Source organism: Homo sapiens, chromosome 4 (assembly GCF_000001405.40).
Source record: "Homo sapiens chromosome 4, GRCh38.p14 Primary Assembly".
NCBI classification, from domain to species: Eukaryota; Metazoa; Chordata; class Mammalia; order Primates; family Hominidae; genus Homo; species Homo sapiens.
Window position 1 is genome coordinate 186,128,695 of NC_000004.12, and position 17,509 is coordinate 186,146,203.

General features: G+C 43.8%; 1 protein-coding gene across 6 annotated transcripts in view, besides 3 other annotated features; it reads left to right on the plus strand.

The window, feature by feature from the left end:
* Positions 1-17,509, plus strand: part of FAM149A (family with sequence similarity 149 member A) — a 70,634-nt gene that overhangs the window by 23,991 nt on the left and 29,134 nt on the right. For 2 of the 6 annotated variants that reach the window (NM_001350178.1, NM_001350179.1), the window contains exon 1: positions 15,789-16,021. The exons of 2 other annotated variants lie outside the window; for them this stretch is intronic. The gene's annotated coding sequence lies outside the window, so the exon portion shown is untranslated. Of the gene's footprint in view, positions 1-15,592; positions 16,022-16,192; positions 16,419-17,509 lie in introns of those variants that run through there. 2 more of the 6 variants (NM_001006655.3, NM_015398.4) reach the window with 2 other exon arrangements.
* Positions 5,489-5,648: an enhancer, noted in NCBI's record as "active region_22266". NCBI's record gives its function as "activates an Ori minimal core promoter by ATAC-STARR-seq in GM12878 lymphoblastoid cells {active_cell/tissue: GM12878}" and the evidence as "EXISTENCE:reporter gene assay evidence [ECO:0000049][PMID:35858748]".
* Positions 15,058-15,558: an enhancer, noted in NCBI's record as "H3K4me1 hESC enhancer chr4:187064906-187065406 (GRCh37/hg19 assembly coordinates)". NCBI's record gives its function as "activates a minimal SCP1, AML or CMV promoter by ChIP-STARR-seq in naive H9 embryonic stem cells {active_cell/tissue: H9 hESC(naive)}" and the evidence as "EXISTENCE:reporter gene assay evidence [ECO:0000049][PMID:30033119]".
* Positions 15,559-16,059: an enhancer, noted in NCBI's record as "H3K4me1 hESC enhancer chr4:187065407-187065907 (GRCh37/hg19 assembly coordinates)". NCBI's record gives its function as "activates a minimal SCP1, AML or CMV promoter by ChIP-STARR-seq in naive H9 embryonic stem cells {active_cell/tissue: H9 hESC(naive)}" and the evidence as "EXISTENCE:reporter gene assay evidence [ECO:0000049][PMID:30033119]".

The following is a 17,509-nucleotide window of genomic DNA, read 5'->3' on the forward strand; positions in this document are numbered from 1 at the left end:
CACCTTTATTATTTAATGTACTTCAGTTGTTGGTTTGGTTAATTTTCACACTTTAATATTCACACTTTGAGCTTAGCATTGTATGTCTGTGTGTGTACATATATGTATGTGTGTATGGATGGATGGATGTCTGTGTGTATGTGCATGTGTGTATGGTGTATGCATCTGTATAGGGGTGTGTGTGTATGGGTGTGTATGTGTGTGTGTCTGGGTATGCGTCTTATGTGTTTCTGTGTGTGTGCATCTCTGTGTCTATGAGTATCTGTGTATGTGTGTCTTTTTTGGTGTGTGTGTGTCCACGTATGAGCCTGTATCTGTATGTGTGCCTGCATCTCTGTGTGTGTATGAATGTGTGTCTGTGTGTGTATCTGTCACTTTGTGTCCATGTATGTGTATGGGTGTGTGTCTCTCTGTGTCTGTGTATGAGTGTGTATGTGCCTCTGTGTGTCTGTGTGTGTCTGTGCATGTGTGTATGTGTCTCTGTGTCTGTGTATGAGTGTGCATGTGTGTGTGTGTCTATGTGTGTGTGCTCCGAATACACTTCTAATCTGTACCTTCCTGTCCCTGTTGAGAAGCCTCTGTTTTTGCTCCACACTGACCAATATGGCCAATATTGGTCAAGGATTGACCAAAGGAGAGAGCAAGGATGCAGCTCTCCTTTCCCCATAAGGAATTCATGAACTGTAATTGCATTAAATCACGAGGAAAAACTGTGTATTTCACTAAAGATCCCCTTGAAAGATGAATGTGATTCATATCACACACCGTACAATATCTCACTTCAAAAGTTCTCTTGATTCCGCTTCCAGCAAGGGTGGACTGGATTGTTTCAGACCAACCACCAGCTGAGAGCAACTAGAGAAGCTGAACACTAGGTTAAAGACCACGCAGGAATTAGGGTGACCAGCAAATAGAGCAGCACCGGGGACTGAAACCCAGTTTTAGATCTTCTCAATTGCTGATTGGATTAAGGTGACCTGGGACTGAGAGAGCCCCCAGCACAGTCTGCTATACCAAGCAAATACAATCCTCTTTGAACTTAAGCTGCAAGCAACGACTCTGTATTGTTTACCAGACACCAGTTAAATAGAAGAAGAAAGAAATGTTAAAAATAAATGTACACGTCAAGTGTTTGCATGTGCAAATATTCCAACTAAAAGGAAGCTGATGTATCTTGTATTAGACCAAGTAGACTCCCAAGTAAATAGGAAGCATTGGTAGAAGTACCAAGGGCCAGTTCATGAAGATTAAAGGCCACTCTGTGAGAAGATATAAGAATTCTTAATTTATAGGCACCAATAACATCGTTTCAAAAAATATGTAAAGATGCACCCATTTGACTAACTTGCAGCAGCTAATGTCTGCTGCCAAGGTTTCCTCTCCAGATGCAAGAAAAAAGTGTTTTTTGCCATTCCTGTCCATCAGCCTGTGGTAGCCAAGATTGAATGGAAGAGTATAGGAAATACAGAACACAGATAGGAGGTAACTGTTACAACCCAGACATAAACTTGTAAACGGTGCAAAACCTGTTTTACTCCAAAAAGGAATCTAAAATTGGACTTTATGAAATCTCTCTCTCTCTCTCTCTCTCTCTCTCTCTATATATATATATATATATATAATCTATATCGACAGAACTAAAAGGAGAAATCCAAAATTGTAGTGGAAGATTGTAACAGTAATTGTGTATAATTGTTTGAGACAGAGTCTTACTCTGTCATCCAGACTGGAGTGCACGGGCATGATCTCAGCTCACTGCAGCCTCTACCTGCTCGGGGTCAGGTGATCCTCCCACCTCAGCCTCCCCAGTAGCCACCATGCCTGGCATTTTTTTTTTGTATTTCTGTAGATATGGGGTTTTGCCATGTTGCCCAGGCTGGTCTCAAACTCCTGGACTCAAGCGATCCACCCACCTCAAGTTCCCAAAGTGCTGGGACTACAGGCATGAGCCACCGTGCCTGGCCAATTATGTATAATTTTTTGGAGTCAATTTGTTTCAGAAAAAATACCACCAATTTACCTTAGAAAGATTCAAACAATACAGTAATTCCTCTCATAGATATGAGATGGATTGAAAAGCTACAGTAAATAGTATGTTACTGATGCAAAGGTAGACAAATAGGCCAGGAGAGTACAGTAGACAAGCCAGAAACACCTATTTGTACATGGATGTTTGGTTGCTGCAAAGTTGGTGTTGCAGATATTGGTGAAAAGATGGTTGCTATGAACTGAATGTCTGTGCCTTTCCCCCAAGTTCCTATGTTAAGCCCCTAACTCCTAGTGTGTTGGTATTTGGGGAGTAACTAGGTTTAGATTAGGTCTTGAGGAAAGGCCCCTTGTGACAGGGTTAGTGTCCTTATAAGAAGAGGAAGGGCAGGCGCAGTGGCTCACGCCTGTAATCCCAGCACTTTGGGAGACTGAGGTGGGTGGATCACTTGAGGTCAAGAGTTCGAGACCAGACTGGCTGACATGGTGAAACCCCATCTCTACTAAAAATACAAAAATTAGCCAGGTGTGGGGGCACATGCCTGTAATCCCATTTACTCGGGAGGCTGAGGCAGGAAAATCGCTTGAACCCATGAGGCAGAGGTTGCAGTGAGCTGAGATCATGCCACTGCACTCCAGTCTGGGTGACAGAGCAAGACTCCAACTCAAAAAAAAAAAGAGGAAGACAGTTTCTCACTCTCCCACTCTCCATGTACACACAAAGAAGAAGGCATTTGAGCACACAGGGAGTTGGCAGCCTTCAGCAAGCCAGGACAACACCCTCACAAGAACCAAACCAGCTGGCACCTTGATCTTGGACTTCCAGGCTCCATAACTGTGACAAATAAATGTCTGTTGATTACGCTGCCCAGTCTGTGGTGTCTTGCCATAGCAGCCTGAGCTGAATGAGGCAATGGTCTTTTCAATAAATAGTGCGGAACCAACTGTATATCCTTACAGAAGTGGAAGACACCTGATACCTCAAGTCACACTACACATACAAAACAATTTCATGTGGACTGTAGATCTGAATATGAAAGGTAAAACAATGAAACTTCTAGGAGAGGACATAGATGCCGATTTTCATGCATCTCATCCTCGAGGATAGGTAAGGACCTCTGCTAACAGACAAAATAATTGCTAACCAAAAAGTAAAAGTTACACTGCATTAAAATTAAGAACTTCTGTTAATCAAAACAGACCATTTACTGGAAGGTTTTAAATGACCCCAAACAAGCTTTGTAAGGCCAGCTAGCCCTTTAACTGTAGTTAATTGTTGGGAAAAAATTCTTTTGTATTTCTTTTTGAATGGGTTTAGCTTCTGTTCTAGCTTTCTTATTATCTCCATAAAAGATTGGAACACAAAACACAAAATAGCTCCATATTAAAGCTTAGCAACACAGATAACACGTCATTTCCACAGCAGAGGCTTGGTGATGCTAATCATTTGACAAATTACCTTGGTACGAGATTTTCCAGTTTATGTCACTTTTAATGAAGGGCAGATTTTTAAAGACCTGTTTTCTATATCTGAAAAGTAAGCCATCAGTATTGTCATGAGACAAAATTACAGCAAATTTAGTTCAAAAATCTCAGTGAAATCAATGAAATTGATTTAAAAGCTACAGTAAATAAGACTGTGTTATTGATGCAGAGATAAACAGTGGGCCATGGGAGCCCAGTAGAAAAGCCAGAAACAGACCTATTTGTCTATGGGATTGTTGCAAAGTTGGTGTTGCCGACATTGGTGAAAAGATGATTGTTATGGGCTGAATGTCTGTGTCTTCTAAACCAAAAAATATCTAAGACAGGTCTCAACCGATTTAGAAATTTTGCCAAGGTTAAGAATGTGCCAGGGAGACAGGTCTGTGCCTTTTTCCAAAGATGGTTTTGAGGGCTTCAGTATTTAAAGGGGAAAAGCAGGCTGGAGGGGATAGGAGGGTATGGTCTCACTACTGAATCCACTTGTTCCAAGACAAAAGGAGCAGGGAGGGGAATGGCCAATTCGGTGCTTGTCCAGGCTTAGTACATCTGCTCTTTATGCAAGATAAGGTGAACATAGGCTAGCCACCTGTGAAGATATTGAACCTTTTATCTGTAGCTCTCTGCCTGTCAACAAAAGGAAAGATAGTTTCTTGCATGACTCAACTTTCAGCTTAAGTGTTTCCTTTTGGCATCCTGAACTGGGGTCCCAAGTTTCTGTTTTGCTTTCACAGTCTTTCCCTAAATTCATGTTCATGTTAAGCCCTGAACCCCCAGTGTGATGGTATTTGGAGATGGATTTTTTAAAAGAGACATTGACGCTGTGCTCTGAGACGAGCTCTGCCTATAGAGCTGGCCTGCACTCAGCACTGCTTAGGAATGTGAGTAAAGGCTTCTGACTCAACACTGCCCCCTCCTCCCTAGGCATTCACTGGTGGGTAAAGGTTAGACAGGAGTCATGTATTGTCTCGACTTCTTTCCACCCTACACACTACATTCTGCAAGCTGGGAGGTGATTTTTTAAAAAATGTGATAAATATGCATGAGACAGAATTTATTTTAACAATTTTAAGTGTACCATTTAGTGGCATTAAGTACCACATTCACAGTGTTGTGCAGTCACCACCGCCATCCATCTCCAGAAGTTTTTCATCATCTCAAACAAACTCACTACCTGTTACCAGTAACTCCCCGTTCCTTCCTCTCCTCAGCACCTGGCAACCACCATTCTGCTTTCTGTCTGTATGAATTTGACTACTTTAGGGACCTTATATATATAAGTGGAATCATACAATATTTGGGCTTTTGTGTCTGGCTTATTTCACTTAGCGTAAAGATTTTAAGGTTCATCCATGTTATAGCATGAATCAGATTTTCATTCCCTTTTAAGACAATATTTAATTGTATGTATTAATATATACTACCTTTTGTTTATCCATTCTTCTGTTGATGGACATTTGGGTTGCTTCCCTCTTCAGCTGTGTGAACAATGCTGCTATGAACATTTTTTAGAGATGGGGTCCTGCTCTGTCACTCAGGCTGGAGTACAGTGGCGTGATCATAGCTCACTGCAACCCTGACCTCCTGGGCTCAGGTGATCCTCCTGCCTCAGCCTCCCAGAGTACCAGGGAGGACAGGCATGTGCCACCACACCTACCTACTTTTTAAATTTTCTGTAGAGACAGGATCTCCCTGTATTGCCCAAGGTGGTCTCGAACTCCTGGCTCAAGTGATCAGCCCACCTCAGCCTCCCAAAGTGTTGGGATTACAGGTATGAGCCACTGCACCTGGCCTGTGTCCCTGCTTTTAATTCTTTCAGTGTATACCAAGAAGTGGGATTGCTGGATCCTATGGTAATTTTGTGTTTCACTTTTGAGGAATCACAAACGATTTTTTTATACTAGCTGCACCATTTTACGTTTCCACCGGTGATGCACGAGGATTCCCATTCCTCTACATCTTCACCAAAACTTACTTTCTTTATCTCTTTTTAAACAGCCACTCTAATGAGTTTAAAATGGAGGACTGATCTTTTTTACATTTTTTGGCAAGGGCTTCCAGACAGCATCGTGCGATGCTGTTGAAGATAGACACATCCCAGCCTCAGAGATTAAACCTGAGCAATTATGATCTTTATTTTCTTCTTTTGCAACATTTTAGACTGGTATTTTCCTGGGTCTGAAATAGGAAGAAAGCTGCATGTGAAGCATGTTCATGGCTGACTCTGTACTAGGTGCCGCAGCAAGGACAGGAAGAGCCTTTTGCTTTTTTAGGTGCATGAGAAAGACAGCGAGAACACAGTCATCCTGAGAGTGTCTGGCAGCCTGAGTTCTCCTTTCAGCTTTGGTCAGCTGAGAGCCCTGGATCACCAAGTAAAGAGGAACCTCTGTGCTCTCCCAAATGTCTTCGTTAGTCAGACCTAGGTTTTCCCTGGGTATCCTGCATTGCCCTAGAATCTGACAGTTTTGTTGTTTTACATTTAGAAAGGGTGTTCTGCTGGTGTTCCCACCCAAAGATGGAATAGGATTTACTTACAATTAAAGCTGTTGAGGGAAAGCCTAGCAGCCTCGTGTGCTGCAGGTTTGCAGGAATCTGGATTCTGGTCCCTGGCCTTCACCAAGCAGCAGCAGGCCTGCCCTTCTGAGACCTCGCTTTTTCTTCTCTGGAATACGAAGGCTTTCATTAGTTCCTCTACTCCTTCAAACATTGATTAAAGGTGTGCTGAGGCTAGGGTGACACAATTCAATATGACGCAGTTCCTGGGCTCAAGCAGTTTTTTAGGTGGGAATGCGTTGGGAGGACAGAATGTATAACAGATGAATCAGGGCGGTGGCTCTCGAAGTGCCATCCTGGGCCGCAGTACCAGCAGCACGTGGGATCCTGAGAAATCCACATTCGCACTGCAGACTTGCTGCACCAGAGACCGGGGTGGGGCCCAGCAACCTGGGTTTTTACGAGCTCTCTGGTGATCCTGCTGCATGTTACAATTTGAGAACCACTGAATTCAATTCTGACCTGACAAACTGCAGTGCAGACATAAGACAGCGGGCACCACCCCTTTGCCTCTACTCTCACGTTTTTTACTTTAGATTGTGTATTAAACATAAAATGCATGCAATCTCCCAATTCTAGTGTTCTGAAATTCCATCTGTATGTCTTGAAATTTAGTAAGAGATTTATGAAGACATTGTGTTGTAATGTCATATACATATGAGTGGTGGTAGAGGTAATAATCAGTTCTCATTATCCCTGGTAGTCATGGTCTGTGAAGTCACCGGAAACCATGATGTAGTGAATACTGAACCATAGCTGCAGAGGAAATACAGGGTTCGCGTCCTGTGAGTCTCCAGTCTCAACATTTTTGTCAACTGATCGATACCTGAGCTTGTCTAATGTGTGTTCGTGTTGAAAGACACCTCATTTAATATATAGTAGCGACTTGCTAACATTGAACTCACCGACAGCGCTGTCTATACCTCGTGCCTGAAAGCTGATCAACATACGTATTTCCTTCTCAAGGCACACCACAGCCTTCTGGCGCTTAGGAACACTCGGCAGCTTTAGCACAGCACTCCAAGACCACTTTACACAGCCAGATCACCCACAACAAGCACAACAATTTGGAAGACCTGTGACAGCACTGAATAGACCCACAAAAGTGCACACTTGTTGACAGCGTGAGAGCTGAAACAAGGCAGGGTCGCCTTGTGTGACCGCAGCGGGGAGCACGCAGTTGAAGGGACTCAGGTGTGTCATTGTTCTGCACATGTGCGGAGGGGCATGGAGGCACCACGCGTGTGGAGTTGGGGCTTACAGATGTATTTTAGCAAGTAGGTGAATTTGCAGAGGGTGAACCAGAGAATAATAAGGATCAATTGCATCTTAATATTTCAGTTACATAAAATCTAATGTACAACAGTGGTCTAGCAATTACTACGAAGTCTTTGTTTTCTGCTGTGCTGTTTAAAAGAGTAAATCAAACATTGAAAAACACATTTTAGGAAAATTTGGCCTTATTGATGTTGCAGTTTGCCCAATTGAACTCTTCATAGAATATGTTTGGATAGTTATTTTTATGTTGAAAGACTGTTTAATTATCAGAATTTTTGTAAAACAGTTTTTAGATTATTCTTTTTTCACTTTATACTAAGTATAGTAAACAAATGTGTAAAAGTAAAAAAATTGGATATTAAAGAATGTCATTGGACCCATTTGTTCAATATATTAGGTTGAAACAATGAAATTTCTGTTTCTCTGGTTCAAAGTAGTATAATATGGACAATTTCATATGATTCTGCCTAATAATTACTCTCCGTGATAAATTTTAGCACTTACTTTAAAAAGTTGGGTTTCAGAACTTAGGTATTTCATTTTGAATAATGTACTAATTCTATATTTTTCTATAATTTTCTATAAGCTTGTGGACCTTATTGATTACCTAGGACTTTCTATGCTTTTTATACTCTTCATATTAAAAGTCTAAGTATTTTTCATCCTTTTTTGGATACAACATTTATAGCAATTTCAAAATGTCCTGATAATCTGTGCCATGTATAGGAGCTTTAGCGTCTCTGTATGATTTGTAGGGAGCTGTGGGAGTGTGCCCTGCAGGGCTGCAGGTGGGGTGCTCAACAAGCCAGGCTGCCCACAGCCTAAGAAGGTGGCTCTGCCTTTCCGTCCACCTGTCTGTGCCCGAGTTTTCTCACTGGCAGAATGGCATTAACAGCAGTGCCCCCTTCGAAGAATGATTGTGAAGCTCAAATACACTGATTGATCTCTCTCTCTCTCTCTCTCTCTCTCTTTCTCTCTCTCTTTCTCTCTCTCTCTCTCTCTCTCTCTCTCTCTCTCTCTCTCTCTAAGTGCTTAAAGCAGGGCCTGGTGTGTGGTACATATTCAGGAAATGTTAGTGGATACTATGGTAGAACATATTTGTTGTGTTTAAAATAGACCAATAATGAAAGGAACTTTAACAGAAATCAGCAAATTGGATTTGAGATGAATCTTTGAAAGCTAAACTTTTAAAGCTAGACTGGACTGATCTGGATAAAGCTGTGTACCCTTGGGAATTTACTGGATGTTGCTGACCCTCTTTTTTTTTTTTCTATATAAAAGAGTAGCCACCTTTCAGGTGGCTGAAGGTTTTGTTCATGTGGTGGTGTGAGGTTTACGAGTAAGGTACATTGGTCTCTGGCTCTAAGTGCTGGTCAGAGCGAAAGCATACCCTGTCCCTCATGCACATTCATATCATGTGCATGGTATGATATGTGCATGGTACGCACTTTCTGTCGGCTGTGCGTACCACCTACTGTTCACTGAAATGCTGACTTCTGATTGAGACAGGATTCCCTATCTATTCTGGAATGAAAATTCGGCAAATCCTAAATCTTGCAAAAAAGAAACCATAAAGTATTAAAATCTGGGCAAGGATTTTTTTTTTTATAGTGATGAAAGAGGGGAAATGTTGACATCTGGTGGCTTTCTGGCAATATTGCATGCCACCATTTCAATATTACATGCAGCCTTTCAATCCCAATCTAGAGCTATATCTTGGTTTACACAGGCTATTCCTAGAACATGCTCATAAAAGAAAAATTCTGTTATCATTTAATATCATATTTATTTATTGCAATTTCCTGGACTCATTTAAAACAATGTACTTATAAATTTCACCACTTAGGTAATTTTTAAATATTAAATAATATATTCTATATTTTTCTATAATTTTATATAAGCTATGGACTTCATAGTTTACCTAGCACTTTCCAAGATTTTTATACTCTTCCCATTAAAATAATAAAACATGATATTGTTTTATTAGTCTTCTATGAAGGAAGTTACCAACTTGTAAAATATATTTAAATGTATAGAGGAGGTTAATGCAAGCATTTTTAAAACAGACTTTTTATTTTAGAGCTAGATTTACAGAAAAGCAGCTCCCTATTATTCTGGTACATGTGTCACAACTAATGAACCAGTATCAATCCGTTACCATTAACTAAACTCCACATTTATTCTGATTTCACCAGAGTACTATTCAGGGTTTTTCAGAGAAGCAGATCAGACAGGATGAGTTAGTGAGTGAGTGTGTGTGTGTGTGTGTTTGCATGTGTGAAGAGGGAGAGAGATTTTTTAAAAATAGGCTCACGTGATTGTGGAGGCTTGGTAAGTCCAAAACCTGCAGAGGTGACAGATTATTTTGGGGGTTACAATTATATTTTAGCAAATAGGTGAATTTGCAAATAGTGATCCAGAGAATTGCAGAGATTGGATGAGGTCCACCCCCATGATGGAGGGTCATCTGCTTCACGCAGGGTCCCCTAAACTGTATTAACCGTCACCACCAGTTTTCCCCAGTGCCCTTCCTCTCCTCCAGGGTCCACTTGACATTACATGGAGTTGTCACGTCTCCTCAGTGTCCTCTGATCCGAGACAGTTTCTCAGACTTTCTTGTTTTGATGATCACGACAGTTTAGGGGAGTACTGGTCATGTGTTTTGTAGAAGGCCGCTCCGCTGGGGTTCGCCTTGTGTTTTTATCATGGTGAGACTGGGGTTATGGGTTTGGGGGGGAAGGCCACAGAAGGGAAGTGCCTTTCTCATTGCCTCATTGCAAGGGTGCGTGTCAACATGACACATCACGGATGGTGCCAGCCTTGACCACCTGGCTCCGGGAGTGCTTGTCAGGCTGCTCCCCTGTAAAGTCACCCCCTGCTTCCATACTGCACTCTTGGAGTCAAGCTTCCATACTGCACTCTTGGAGAAGAAGGTATGATGCCCGCCTCCTGGAAGGGGAGACACACACCACTGGGGTAGAGTTCTTCTGTGGGAAATGTGCCTCTTCTCCCCATTTATTTATTTATTTGTTTATTTCTATCAATATGGGCTCATAGAAATGTATTTTGTACTTTAGTTATAATCCGATAGCACATGATGTATTTTGTTACTCAGGTTGTTCTAGCTTTAGCCATTTGGGGCTCTTTCAGGATGGCTCCTGTGACATGCTCTCATTCTTCTGTTGTTTTGGTTTTTGTTTTTTGAGCACTTTCCTACAGTCTGGCAGTACAAGATGCTCCAGGTACATTTTATATTGCCCTGCCTCAGCCCCCAAATCGGCCACTCCTCCATGGAGCCCTGGTCCCTCTATTGGAGAATAGTATTTGGTGTGGTCTGAATGTTTGTATCCCCCAAAATTCATAGGTTGAAATCTCTCTCCAATGAAATGGTACTAAAGGTGGGGCCTTTAGGAGGCGATTAGGTCATGATTGCAAAGCCCTCGTGAGTGGGATTCATGCCTTTATGAAGGAGGCCCTGGGGGCTTCTTCACCCTTTTGGCCATGTGAAGACACAGCTGGAAGGCACCATCTAGGAAGCATGGAGCCGGCACCAGACACTGAATCTGCTACCACCTTGATCTTGGACTTCCCAGCCTTCAGACCTGTGGGAGATAGGTAATGGCAAAAACTGCAGTTACTTTTGCATCCACCTAATACGTTTCTGTTGTTTATAAGTCACCCAGTCTATGGTATTTTGTCATAGCAGCCCAGATGGACTAGGACAGTGTTAGGAACTAAGATCTAGGCACTGGAGGTGCTCATTGCTACTGGAGACAGCTCTATGGTATAGAGAGATGACATAGTTGTATGTATATGTTTGTATTTGCAAAGCAAGGCCACAGTTCTGATATGCACAAGTTTCAGTTTATATGATACCCATGTAAAGCCAGGACTGCTCGTACTGGATAAATGTAAAAAACTGTATGTAACTTTTGTGTATTATATTGCATAATATTAAAATGAACTGGTTTAATACTCCACCTAACAAAAAAAACCACTCTCAATGCTTTAAATGCTGAAAAAAGGAATAATTTACAATTTATTATGTATCTATATGCAGTTTCCAAAATTTGTCTCTAATTCACACAACTCTACAAGGAAGACAGTAATATTAGCCTTGTTTTAGCTAATTTCTGCTCACAGCATTAAGTTATCAGCTCAGGATTGCATGGCTAGGGCAAGACAGAGCCAGCACGTGAAATCAGGTCAATTTTTAGAGGAGTTGCTTATAATTTTTGGAATAACTTTATATCTTATATTACTAATTAATTTTCAGAGGGTGATCACATAATCACATATACCACTTTTTATTTTTATTTTTTGAGACAGTGTCTTGCTTCGTCACCCAGGCTGGAGTACTGCAGCCTCCATCTCCGGGGCTCTAAGTGATCCTCCCACTTCAGTCTCCCAATTAGCTGTGACTACAGATCCATGTGAACACACCTAGCTTTTTTTTTTTTTTTTTTTTTTTTGTAGAGACAACGTCTCATTATGTTGCCCAGGCTTGTTCTGAACTCCTGAGCTCAAGAGATCCTCCTGACTTGGCGTCCCAAGGTGCTGAGCCACTGTGCCCAGCCTATACCATTTTATTTTATCCTAATGAATTCGCCAAACTAGGCTAAGGGAGATCCTATTATTTTAGGAATTGAGGTCTCCCATTTAATGACTCTAATTACTGATCCCAGGGCCCCATGCCATTAAAATGTAAAACACTTAAACAATAAGATAGAAATAGTTATGTACTTTTCAATTCTCAATTAGGGTTTAAATAATCAATGAAAGATGGAAAATCGTATGGACTAAGTACAGGTAACATTGTATTAGGTTCTCCAGAGAAACAGAAGCAATAGGAGATACATGTCTACATCTATATTTGTATATATCTGTATAAAGAGATTTATTACAAGGATTTAGCTCATTGATTATGGAGGCTGACAAGTCACAAGGCCTTCAAGGTGAATGGCCAAGTTGGAGATCCAGGAGAGCCAGTGAAGTAGTTCTGATCCAACTTGCCAGCATCTGGTATTTTTAAGAATAGCCATTCTGACTGATGTGAGATGGTATCTCATTGTGGCTTTGATTTGCATTTCTCTAATGGTAAGTGATGTTGAACTTTGTTTTATGTGATTGTTGGCCACATGTATGTCTTCTTTTGAAAAGTGTCTGTTCATGTCCTCTGCCCACTTGTTTATGGGTTGTTTTTTTCTTGCAAATGTATTTTTAAGTTCCTTATAGATACTGGATATTAGACCTTTGTTGGATGCATGAAATATGTTATTGGTGTAAAATACACACTGGATTTCAAAACTTAGTACAAAAAAATTAAAAATATCTAATTACCAATTTTTATACAGATTACATGTTAAAATGATAATTTATATTAGATTAAAATATATCATTAAAATTAATTGTACCTGTTTCTTTTACTTTATAAATGTGGATACTAGAAAATTTAAAATTGTATGTATTTACATTATATTTCTACTGGGCAGTGGTGGTCTAAACCAATCCAACGTGAAGATTTTATCACTTTAATCTTTAAGCAAGCAGCATAGCTTTAGGTTTTGAAATTTGAGAGAAGAGACAAATGAATTAAGGAACTGTTCAGGTTTTGAACAGAAGTCATAAGAAATATAGAAGTCAAGACTTGCTGGGTTTGTGAAACTTTGACCATCACAGTCTCTCTGGGCAAAACTGAAAAATGGCCTCTGTGCAAAGATCAAATCCTAGGCAGGGGTAAAGGTGAAATCAAAGGTTTGGCTTAACAAGACGTCAGATTTAGGGGTGTCTCATAGATCCCCAAGATAATAGGGCTTTAAAAAATCATAAGAGAATTGGCCCCCGGCAGTCTCAAAGGTGGACCAAGGGCCCATCTCAGGTCAGTGTGGTTTGTAACTAATGGATGGGGTGAACTCTGATAAAATTCAAAGAAACCCACAAGGTATTGGCAGAGTGATGGAAGCGCCACTGGCTTGAACTAAAAGAGGCACAGACTTTTGGACCCCCTTCCCCAGCCTTCCCTGGAGGAAAGCAGGCTGAGAGGCTACTTAGTTGCAAACCTAGGCCATTTCTTTTCCCTGAGGAAGTCTCGGTAGAAGCAACAGCCCAGAGGACAGAGCTAAGGGCTGGGGAGAAGGCAGGAAGCAGAAGTGAGTCCTCCTCAAGGCAAGGCAGCAGGAGCCTGCTGGAACCCGCAGTGGCTGCTGCCTGGCTCCGCCACCTCTCTTGTTGGACAGGTGCCCACTGGGGATGTCCTGGCTCTGTCTCACCATTGTCGGTTGGGTGTGGAGAAGGCTGTTGCCTTGTCTCTCTAGTTCGCAGGTCTTCAGATGTAAAGGAAATACCCAAGCAGAAGCCTCATCTGTACGCGGACATGCTTTAGATGATGAGACTTCTGAGCATCTTGAAAGAGCTGAGTGTATCGTGCATGTGTAAATGACCTGTGGCCAGAGGACGGTTATGGCGGATTAAAGACGGCTGTAGGTTCTTCCCATTGAGAGCTGGGGTCTATTTTCCATCTCTTTCATTCTGGGACTGCTTTGATTATGGAGTACAGTGGAGGTGACACTGCCAGTTGCCACCTTGAATAGAGCTGACGGCTTCTGCCTCGCTTTCTTGGAGCCCTAAGCTGCCACGTAGAAATTCCAACGACTTCACTGGAGGGACCACTCAGAGAAGTGTTGAAGCTGCATGAGAGAAGGCTCAACTGAGCCCAGACTTCCAGCCACCCCCGACTGCATGGTGTAGACACATGAGTGAAGCCTTCTTAGAGCCTCCACACCAGACCACCCTCCACCTGTATGCCACTGAGCAACCCCACGGGGAGCAGAAGAAACACTCAACCTGCCGCAATTCCTGAGTTCTGTGGATTATGAGCATAACAACATGACTGTTGATTTAATCTACATTTGGGGTGGTTTGTTATGGGGTAATAGATATCTGGGACACATTCACACATATACATCCTAGCTGTGTGACCTCGAACATGTTACTTAAGGTCTCTGACATCAGTATTTTTATCAACAAAATTGTAATAATAGTGTCTACCTACTATGGGTGTTAAATATATGTAAGAATATATGTAAAATAATATATATAAAAGTAAAAGCAGCTAGCATATGTTTGGATCTTAAATGACTTTGTGTTCGATTTTTACTTTTTTTTTTTTTTTTTTTTTTTTTGAGACAAGAGTCTTGCTGTCTTGCCCAGGCTGGTCTTGAACTCCTGGGCTCTAGTGATCCTCCCATCTTGGCCTCTCAAAACACTGCGGTTACAGGTGGGAGCCATCACACCAGACTCCTTTCTTTTGTTTCCCTGGCATGCCCATCCTCCCACCCCTGGCAATATAAATAATATCAGCAAGTCTGTGTGGGCTTAAGATACCATAGTTTTCCTGATAGATATGTATACACATACACACACATCACACATATACACATATACATGTATCAGGATTTAAAATCTCATTAATTTTATAATTTATAACCACTTACCACTTTTATAAAAGTGGGGAGGATTCCAGTGTTCTTAGTTCAACAATGGATTACTGTTTTGTTTGTGTTTGTTTTTTTGAGACAGAGTCTCCCTCTGTCGCCCAGCCTGGAGTGGGTGGGGCGATCTCCGCCTCCCAGGTTGAAGTGATTCTCATGCCTCAGCCTCCTGAGTAGCTGGAATTACAGGCACGCACCACCACACCCAGCTAATTTTTGTATTTTTAGTAGAGACTGGGGTTTCACCATGTTGGCCAGGCTGGTCTTGAACTCCTGATCTCAAGTGATCCGCCCACCTCAGCCTTCCAAAGTGCTGGGATTACAGGCGTGAGCCACCCTGGCTGGACTACTGTTTTTGTTATTGGTAGTGATTTCTTGTCACCGTGCTAGGGTGGTGCATCAGAAATAAACTGGGCTTTTTAGTAAAAACTCGGAAATACATGGTTTACCTCTGTAAATACGGGATACTTGGCAGGAGAAATTGTACCTGTTGAAACTTAGATGGCCTCAGCTCTCAAAAGAGACTGGCTACGGCAGGACGGGGATGAGTGTTGTACCGGCACCCAGTGCACTAACTGTCATTACTAAAATCCCTGTCGTGGGAAAGGCATGCCTCGTGCAGTGCCCACCCTCTGAGACTCAAAAATGTAGTTCACCTCCGCGACCTCACCCCTTCTTCCCTTAGCATGTGAAAATGACGGCTTGGCAGTTTCACCAGCTCACAGGAGAGCGTCCAGCTGCTCTGCTCCTGGTATAATCCTGGGCCTCCAAAACTGAAACGAGCACATGGTAACGCAAGCGGCAGGCATGCTCGGGGTGTGCAGGAGATGCACCGGCTTGTGTGAGCCGGTAGGGCAGGACGGGCGTGGAAGGGTCCACGTCTTTAGTATGCATGCTTAGATCTAGCGTTCCTGTTGATGGAGTAATGGTTCTCGCATTGACCAGATCCGGGGCTTCATTTTTTAAACCTCATTCGTCCACTCCCCACCCCAGCCTGGTGTGCGCACCCTTTGATGGGGCGGGGATAGGCGAGATGGTCCTGTGGTTCTCTGCCTTCTTCTGGTGAATTAAAATCCGATTTGGAAGAGAGAAGGGCAGCCAGCACCAGTATGCACAGCCCCCGGCCCCAGAGACCCGGGAAGGAGTAGGGAGGCCGGGCCGTGCGCGGAGGAGTGGCCGCTGGGTTGGAAACCCGGCCCGGCAGGGAGCGGGGAAGGCGCGCTTTCCCGGAGGTCGGCGCGGGGCCGGGGCCGGGGCCGGGGCCCGGAGCGGGGATGGGCGGGCGCAGCCGGGATTAGCTGGCGGGCGAGGGCGCAGCGCAGGGAGGAGGAGGGGAGGCGGCGCCGGCGCGGGCGGGGCGGAGGATCTGGAGAGGGAAGGGGCGTGCGAGCCCCGCGGACCCCGGGCGCGCCCGGGCCGCCTGAGCTGGGCCAGCCGCGCGGCGGGCGCGGGCGCGGGCGCGGGCGCGGGCGCGGGCGGGTGGGGAGCCCCAGCCCCGGGGCCGCGGGGGCGCGTGACCGGCTGTCTGCGTGGGGCCCGCGCGCGGTGCCTCTGCCTGACGGTGCCCGAGCCTAGCGCGGAGCCTGGCGCGGGGGCTGCGAGCACAGGCCCGGGGCTGATCGTAATCGGGTGAGTCTCATCCGGCAGCAGGGCTCGCCTTCTGGCCGCTCTGCAGGCGATGTGCGCGGTGTTCTCCGCCCGCGGGCCGGCTGCGTCTGGCCCGGGCTTCCCTGCAGGCACTCGGGAAGCGTCAGGCCGGCCCCGGGCATGGCTCACGCGGGGAAGCGTTCGCCGCCAAAGGGACTCCTTCGTCACTGCGGTCGCTCCTGGGACTTGCTGGTGTTGGGTCAGGGCGGTGTGAGTGTTCCGTGCTGAGGAGCGGCTTCCCATGGCCACCCTGGAGTGCCCCTGTGTGTCCCCCCATCCAGAAAACCAGCCTGCATTTTAACCCGTTCAGAGTACAGTGCTTATGTCAGACAGTCCTGTCAACTAGGAATAGAAAATTTTGAAAGCTGCTGTCACTGACATTAGAATTTCTACAAAGCAGTGTGGCAGAGGTTTGTGGGCTGTCAAGAAGCAACCTAAAACAGTAACTCTGGATGATGATTTTCCTGACAGCTGGAATGGAGTCATGGAGATTGGAACTCACCCTTAACCTCCATGCGCCAACAAATGAGTGCAGTCTAGTTTAGTGACTGCACTTCAGTCCACCCTACGAAGACCTGTCCCCAAATCAACAGCCTTGCTCTATTTAAACAGTATGGACAGGAACTAGTATAGAACTTGCATGTCTATGTTTAGAAGCTTCATGGACATGCCACCATATTCAAGTTTTAAAATACCTGTGGGATGCATCCTGTAAGTTGTGTACACTTTCTTAGACTGTGTAGGATACAGAACTAGTCCATAGTTTATAGGGGATTAAAGAGGTTCAACATTATGCATGAGGGACCAGTAACCAATCCTTGGTTAGAGAACAGAGAAACCAAAGAACCAAAACAAGATGTGAAAGAGAAAAAAAAAAAGAAAAAGACAAGAAAGGGATTTTGTAGGCTCTGCTGTTAATTCATGATGTTAGTAACTTGTGCCACTGGAGAGACAGGCAGGTCAGTGGCCTGGTTCCTCGAAGAAACTCTGTCCCTATCTTCTTTGTGCTCTTGGGCAATCATTGAGTTACGGACTTAAATTCCTGTTCACCTCGTTTTTTTGTGAATTGTGTG